This window comes from Homo sapiens, chromosome 9 (assembly GCF_000001405.40).
Source record: "Homo sapiens chromosome 9, GRCh38.p14 Primary Assembly".
Lineage (NCBI taxonomy): Eukaryota > Metazoa > Chordata > Mammalia > Primates > Hominidae > Homo > Homo sapiens.
Genome location: NC_000009.12, coordinates 106299916 through 106308838, shown reverse-complemented (window position 1 = coordinate 106308838; position 8923 = coordinate 106299916). Strand labels below are relative to the sequence as shown.

The following is an 8923-nucleotide window of genomic DNA, read 5'->3' as shown; positions in this document are numbered from 1 at the left end:
TCAAGGAATATCCAACTGTAAAAAATTAAGATACCATTTTACTTTAATAAATTAGAAAAGAAAATCATATAAAGAAAAAATATCAAATACATAGATTATTTTTCTACAGCACTATAGAAAAACAAAATTGTTGCCTTCCTTTATTAGATGTAGCTCTTAGGAAGGGATTGAATGGAGGTGTGAATGACTGAATAAGGTTAAATAAATGGGCAAAAAAATGGTTTTCATATTTTTTCTTTCCCAGGAGTAGTTTCCAACTCTTTCACAACAAAATTCTACTTTTGTTATTAATTATCTTAGGATGGTCAGACCTGGACTCAAATCCCAAGTTTGCCTCCATCATTTCCTCTGGAGACTCTTTCAGCAATAAGGGCCTCCCAGCAGAGAACCATTAATTTAGTGCAGATCTGTAATTTTACACAATCCTGTGAGATGCGTCCTACTATAATCCCATTTTATAGATGATAAAATGGAGGCATCAACAGGCTAAAATCAGCTAGTACATCAGATCAGGCAGTATGATTCAGAGACCACATTTATAGTCCTTATACTGCAATATCTTCTATACCAAAACATATGTATTGGAATGGCTTGAAAAGCTTCATCCCTGGAAAAATGGCTCTCATAAAACTGGTTTGAAAAATAATTTGGAAGGTAGAAGAGCATCAGTGGATATATGTTTATTATTTTGTTCACTTTCCATCTGAGCTCTCATCTTTTTTTATTATTTATCTTAAGAAATTAGGTGGGAGGCAAAGATTGCCTTCCACTGTAGTGAAAATATTTTGCATTTTTTCTGGGAAAGATGGAGGGCACAAAATGGAACAAGAAGATTCACTCTGAAATACTTACCTGTATAATTTTCCAGGGATTTAAGTTTTCTTATTTTTATTCACAGAGAGAAAAAGTCATAACTGACCTCAAAAGAGGTCATTCCTTTACAGCAATGACTCATATGCCATCCAAACCATAAGTTATGAAGTTGAAATCTAAGAGGAAGTGGCCAATTTGTCAGCTGTACCTGAAGAAGAACTTCTTTTCAGCAGGAACCATCCTTATGTGCTTATTATTGAAGTGAATCTACTCTAAGGACATGGCCTCTTTCTGAAACAGATTCAGGAAGGACTGTTATTTAAAGATGATCATGGCTTTGACAAGGTGATAACTCTTATCTAACTCTTGTATATAGATGCTAGCAACTAACTAATCCTGCAGAAGACAGCAGAAGAATAATAAAGATAACTTTGGCTACCATTGTTTCAGTGTCTTTTCCCTGTTCTCAAACTGGGGGAAAGACATACACTTTGGTGCTGGCAGCATTGAATCACTAACAATGAAGACAAAGCATGATGCAACTTCCTGGAGGGACCATTTGACTCAAAGATTATTTTGAACAGTATGTTTTATTTCAAAGAGGTATTAAAAGAGGTATATTACAAAAGAGAATTTTAAAATTAGCATGATTTTTAAAATTTCATTTATTTATTCAACAAATATTTACTGAGCATTTGTACAAAGCCTTGGTGTTCCTATCATGGACAGAATCAAATGGACCCTGATCTCAGGAAATTTAGAACCTGATAAGGGAGGCAGAGGAATTCGTTGCAAAAGCTGGGATGAGTGCTCTGAAGAAAATACCACAGTTCTTAAAGAGCCTCGCACAAAGGCAAGGGAAGCATGAGCTGAGATCTGAAGGATGAGAAGGAGTTGAGTAGGTAAAAGGCTGGAGAGGTGGTGCTGGTGGGAGATGCAGATGGGGCAGTATGAGTCCAAAGCCTTGATGTGGGCAGGGATTAGGAAGAAGGCCAGTGACACCAAAGCTCACAGGGTAAGGGAGAAAGTAGTGGATCAGGCTGGAGATGTTGCTGGGGCCAGACAGTGCAAGGACTTGTGAGCATGTTAGAATTGCAGAAAAAAATGAAACTAAGTTCTGGCTTGAGGGCACTTTGCAGGTAACTGTCTGATCCTTCCAGAGGAAATAGGCACCTTCTTCTCTGTTATTGAGGGTATGTGGATGGAATATATGGAATATAGGAAGCATGAGTTTATCATATATCTTGAAAGGTCAATTGTACTGCTCCTAACCATCACTCTACCCCTAATTTGCAGGTGAGAAAACTGAGGCTCAGAGAGGTGAAGTGACCAAGGTAGAATAAACTGTAATGAACTGAGTTGGGGTTCAACTTTGACCTACTGGACTCATCTCAGTAGGGAGATTTTGAAGCTAACTTTGTTTCCTCCAAAATTTTGCTTGTGACAAGTCAGGCCTAGGTATATTCTTTGGGTAATAGGTTCCATTTTTATTGCTTTTAAAATTGTCTTCAGTATGATTTCTTTTAGGCCAGGCCATTTTGTGGAGCTCCAAACCAACACCAAAACAAATTTGCATAGTTGGCTTTAAATGATCCTCTTTTTGTCACCCTATCAGTCACAGGTGTATTCGACACTCAGATGCAGACAGCTTTCTTTTTGCCCATCTGAGATGTGAATCACTGGTCAATGCCAATCACATGCTGCACAATAAATTCATTGCTCTATCCTCAACAGGTCATTCTCATTCTACCTCACTTGTCTGGAATTTATAGGGAATTCAGAATTTGTCAGAGTTGAAATTGACTAGTGCAAAATTCTCACTAAAAGAGATTTAGTTAAGATGAATCCTTGGCACATCCAAGGTCTTAGTGAATCAGCACATTTACAAATATCACTTTAATATAATTTCTCCCAGAAAAAGAGATCATGAAAGACTGAAACATTTAAGTTGTGCTTTAATAATTTACTTAATGAGCAGTATTTGCACTGAGTAGAGTGCTGCCTGAAGTGGAATCACAAATATCTTTTTCTTAATGCTGTAGAGAGCATCTGGTGGACTCGTTTGTGTCATAGAACCAGAGTACTGCCAAGTGTGACATTCCACTCCTTAATGAATCCAAGGGTTCAGCTTCCTGGCAAGGGACCATCACTTAGGCTTCTTATTTTCTATTCCCTTTCAGCACCAGCTCTGGCAGTTGATGTTCTTCCCTTAGCTAGTTGTTATTTTTGTTTTGTTTTTACAAAGAAACAATTTATCACATTATGAGAATTGAGAATTACTAAGTTCTCCTCAAAAAGTGTGGAACCACAAAACTAAACCCAAAATCTGGGTGGTGGCTGGCTACATTCACAGATTCAGTGGCTTAGTCAAAATGCAAGCCTTACAAACCCATGAGACTCAAAGTGCTACTGCAGCAAAATGATAAAACACCCATATTCTGGTCTTGCAAGGTCCCTTGTGAATAGCTGAATCCCTGGATGCTAAATTCACAACAGCTAATGGTCTACTCTGTTTTCTTAAGTTTTCACCTAACTTGCATTTTGCTTTTTATGTGTTAATATCCACAGCTCTAAGTCCTTTGTGTATACTATGTCCTCAGCCTGTCTTGGGTCTCTCTTTGACCTTCTACCTTTGACTGTGAACTTGCCACATGACTTTAATCAATTTATCATTGACACTGACCTTGAATAGCACCTCCCCAAATCCCCATAGCCAGTTCTGATTATTCTGTTAATCTGTTTCTATGAAAGTTCATCAACCAAGGATATAAACCAACTCAGACTGTCTAAAGCTCTAGTTTATACTACTCTGAGTGAAAGAAATGCCGACTAAAATATATTTTTTTAATTGTTTCAAGTGACAAAGTCATAAATTCAATAAAGTACTGTATGTTCACAAATATTATAAACAGTGATATAGGAAATGATTGTGATATAATATTAAGTGACCAAACACAATATAAAATTGCAAGTATAGTGTGATTTCAATTGTATAAAACATGTACTAAAAATACTAAAATTTAATATACAACAAATTAATAGCAATCATCTTCTAGGATTGTAAATAATTTTAATTTCTTCATATTAATCTGGATCACCAATTTTTAAAGACTCAATAAACAAGATTATTCAAAACATCAATAGTACCTATGAGGTATTTTAGTCTTAAAACATTGTAGACCAACCCCTTAAAGCACTGCTCAAATTCCTCCACAGTTTCAAAGGCTAAAAATCAGGGCCAGCAACTTGAGGAATTTAATAAAGAACAAGTTCAATTCCCAACTTCAATTCCCCTGAAAATATGACAGGATTTTAAAATGTGCCTGGAAAACTGCATCTGGGGTTTTGCCAATCCCATAACGTTTGGGACGTTTGCTGAACCCAAAACACAGCCGGGCCCACCCATCCATAATTAAAGCCCTCCCCCCAAATGAATTCATTGCTTTGTGGCACCATCTGTCTCATTCCCTTATTTACATAATAGGGAACCCTGTTCTGACTGCAGCAAATGAGAAGCCACAAAAGAATGGCGAGTGAAGATGAAATGTATACATGGAGACATCAGATTATGTATAATATGGTCAAATCCCCTCAATTTAAAATTTCTAAAAAATCTCAAAACCCATCACAACGTTCACCTCGGCCTTGTTCCAGCTCTCAGAACCTCCTTCCTCCTTATGCTGCATCTGCAACTCTCACTAATCTGGCTTGTTTCACTCAAAGAGTTCATTTGTCAGATTTTATTTTATTAAATATTTTATTTTCCTCTTGTGGACCCATTAGAACACCAGTTAGAGAAAGTAGCATAAATCAATCGCATTTGATATTCACTAAGGATGCAGAGGAAATAAGCAGGTTCATGTTAACCTGAAATTTAAAAAGGAAAAAAAAAAAGCTGTCCCCGATATAGAGCTTCCATGAATCCTTCTCATTTTCCTTCTGTTCCTCTCCTGGGAAATTTCTGTAATAAGGGAAGCGCGAGTAGAGGATGTGTTCAAAGACAGACAAAGGGCTGATTTTTAAAATGCAGCAGTCCTCTAATCCCATGTTTTATGTCCCTTCCTACAGGATGTGAGGCAGGGACAACCTTCTCAATCCCCATGGCAGTCACATGCAGTAGAGAAGTAAGCACTGGTCTAAGAGTCTAGTGACTTGGACTCATATTTGGACTCTGCCACTAGCTTTTGGTGACCTTGGGCAAGTCTACTTCTTAGAACTTCAGTTTTCCAATCAGCACGCTGCTAACCCATAAACACCTGAGATGATGCTCTTCCCTGTGGACCGGGGTCCCCATTTACATGCCTGCAGACACAGATGCAGTCCCAGCCGCTCACACTGAGAATAGAGAGTTGGAGACCTGAACTCCTTTAGCCCCAAGGATCACCTTTCACCATGACCAAGCACCCTCAGGCCAAAGAAGAAAAAATGCCAAGGTTTAGAGGCATACATTGGCTTCTATACCAAGTCAGAGATCAGGAGGATGCCTCCTCAGCCCAGCACTGACAGCAGAAGGAGCAGCCACACCTTAGGTTAAAAGTATCAGAGGTTAATGGTGATAACAGTAGTTTAATCGGTGCACCGTGAAGAGCCTAGGTAGCAAGCTGCCAACAATGAACAGATTCTTCATCCCCTCTCTGGTCTCTCAATCAGAATTTCTAGGGCTAGAATCCAGGAATCAGTATATTTATTACATTCCCTGGATAATTCTGATTCATAGCCCACACTTGGGAAGTATTGGATTCCATAACTCTTAAACCGTGATAAAAGAAAGGTTAGCACATCTTTAGGAGAAACACTTCTTTAGTTCTAAACTCCAGAAGGAATCTGTGATGTATTTGCCTTAATTCAGAGGTCACTGAACAGCAGAATAGATAACGTCAGAAGTGATTTTATTTCTTAGGTGCAGAAATGTCCATGCAGACACATCTTATAGGCATTTGCATTCAACTTGAGACCAGAACCCTTAGAATTTAACTAGTGAAAGCATTTCTGCTGGAGCAAAACTTGTAAGGTTTAGGCTGGGTTTCTCATCTATGCCTGGTAATCCACTAAGGCTTACAGTAGCCCCCACCAAAGAAGCTCCTCCTCACAATTTCCAACCAGTCCTTAAAACTCCCTTTCCAAAAAATAATGACCATAATAATGATAATGTATTTTTGATATAGACTACTAAGATTTTCTCAATCCTATATGATGTGAAAATAAAAGTAGCTTCAGAAAACATGACAATTTTTAATGATGTATAACACAATCCAAATACAACCTCTGTTCTTGACTTGAATATACAGCTTGCTGGCAAATCTGCTAGACTGCCATTCTGACCAGACACCCTCTGCTAAGCCCCTCCTATTTTCATGGCATGGGCCACTGCTAGTGTTGCAAACAGTAAAGAAGTGTATTAGCAAACAACGTGTGGCCATGGGGACACCTGGTGTGGACCTCCAGGCCTTCCACTTACTAACTGCACAATCTTGAAATATGAGGTAAACCTGATTAGTGTCTCCAGAATGGGATAATAGCAACCTGTCTGATGGGGTTGGAGGATCAGTGAGATAAAGAACACAAAATCTAAGTAAGACATGATGCTGTGTTCCTCTGAACTGGCAGTCTGATAGAGAACATTAGAAAATTAAGTGAAGTTCAAGTCCCTGTGGAGGTCCAAACATGGAAGGGCTTAGTCCTGCCTGAAGAGATTTCAAGGCACTTTCCTTAGGAATGTATATTTGAACTAAGTCTTTGGGATTGGGCAGAAGTTTTCTAGAAGGAGACAGAATAGCATATGTGGGAATGTTAGAAAGGATGATTTCAGGAAATAGGTAAGTCTATGTACATGATTGGTTTATAGAGTGCATTTTGAGGGATAGGAAGCATAATTATAAAAATGGGGATGGGAATAAGTATTCATTAGCATGAATCCTTTTGTTATTCTGTGCTGAAAGTGAAGGCCTTTCCACTGAACACACTGAGGGACCAATGGAGACCTTTATAGAGGAAAGAGATATGATCAGACTTGGATATAGAAAGCTCGCTATGGAAATACTGATTAAAGTGGGCTGAAACAGGGTCAGACTGAAGACAAAAAGATCCCAGTTAGAGGAGGTGTTGTAGGATCCAGTAAAGAAAGGCTGAGGCAGTGAGAATGGAGTGGGCATTACTGATTTGAATGATTCTAGGAAGAAAAGGGAAAACTTAGTGACTGATTGGATGGGGAAGGTAAAGGAGAATGAAGAGTCAAGAATGTCTCTCAGGTAACAAATCCTGGTGAATGGGTGAACATTGACGTTGATTTGTACATTGACCAAGAGAGAAAGAGAAGATGAGCAAATTTAAGACTAAGTAGATGTGGGACATAGTGAATGACATTTGAGACATGTTGAATTTAAAAGTATCTGCAAAAATCCAGATGGAAAAATTGACTATGTATATGTATGTCTCTAGTTCATAGGGTAAAAACTCAGGGGGAAAGAATCTGATTATGTGCAAGCTAGGAGTAGCTACTTAACATTAGGATATTTTTAGAAGGAGCTTGTTAATAGAAAATACCTTGATTATTTGCAGAAATTGATTTAGTTGCTTTGAGGACCATGTTTTTTTCCTCATTAAGCATGTTCTGTGTTTAGATCCATACATCCAACTGTGCTCAACAATATTATTGAGGCTGCAAACACAACTCAAGAACATTTCAGATATGGCATGTTCAAGTGAGATGACTCTGTACCATGGTGAAAAATATAGACAGTCAAATAAGACAATGTTCATGAAATTGCTTTGAAGTCACTCAATAAATGACAGTTTCTTCTCTCTTTATCAAGGGGCAGCTGACAATGATAGGATTAAAAGCTGAGGGGTTCACAGTCAGGCCCAGCACATTGTGTGACATACAGTTGTTATACAATTAATGTTTGGTGAATAAATTGCCGAATGAAGGTACACATTCATTAAAGAGAATAAACACTCTAACAGAACTCTAGGAGACTGAGATACTTTTTTTTTTCCTAGGTAGCAGTGATTTTCAAAGGCGGATCATTCAGATTATGCGACCTGGCCACAGTTCACGGGGTGACTACTAGGGAGGTTGAAATTAGGGACTTGAAATTTCCTTTCCTTCAAGGAGGAAACTAAATGTTCAAAGAACGAGTGGGTAAGGCTTCTTTTAAACCAGCAAAATGCTTCATCAGGCCATAAACCTGTGGTATAGTTTAGTGATTCTGTTTAAATAGATGCTTCCCATTGCCTTATGAGATCTGGAAAAGCCATAAAAATTCATGGCCTACTTGTGGCTGAGCTCTAATAAAGGAATAATCCGTGCTTTAAGTGAGGGGTAATGGGAGGTACAGTGGGAGATTTACTGGAGCAATAAGGGCTGCAGAAAGAGAGTAGGTTTTTCATGCCAATTACACTGACAGACTACAGAGCAAGACTTTCCTGACACACACTTGTAATCCTGTTCTGCTAAGTGACAAGATGGGGTTCTCAGTTCTTCCTTCTCCTGCACTTTCAGGAATCAAAGCCTTGGAGTTTTACTCAAGGCTCCTGTCACCAAAGTTAATAAACCTCCTGAGAGATTCCCATGGTACACCACTTGGTACAGTGGAAATAACATGGAATCTGGGTTAAGAAGAAATTCAGTTTTAATCCCAGCTCTGCCACTCATTAGGTAATTTTATGAATGCCTCTAATTATTTTTTCCCAATTATTCATTCCTGTTCATTGATATAACACTTGAGGTGCCTCTCTATGGAAGAAGCACATACACCTACCTGCTTAACTTCAAGCTTGGTCATATGGCTTGCTTTGGCCAATGGACTGTGAGTTGACATAACATGTGTCACAACACAGAAGAGCTTTAAGGGCCTTTGGTAGGTCAATCACTGTTCTTTTCTGTCTGTCATGAGAATGATAAATTCCAAATTAGGACTGTTTTTCAGGCTGGTTTCTAAAATAAAGATACATGGGGCAGAGCCACAGCCAACCTCAGACACTGTACTAGACTCATAATAAGAGCAAGAATTAAAGTCTTTTTGCTCCAAGACACTGAGACATTGGGGTTGTTTGTTACTGCAGTATAATACAGTGATAGCTGATACACTGAGCAATTCTGGAGAAACCA

The 8923-nt window shown here is 38.6% G+C and overlaps 1 long non-coding RNA gene across 2 annotated transcripts in view; it reads right to left on the bottom strand.

The window, feature by feature from the left end:
* LOC107987108 (uncharacterized) overlaps positions 1–8923 on the bottom strand; it is a 675821-nt gene that overhangs the window by 295963 nt on the left and 370935 nt on the right. The gene's annotated exons all lie outside the window — the stretch shown is intronic.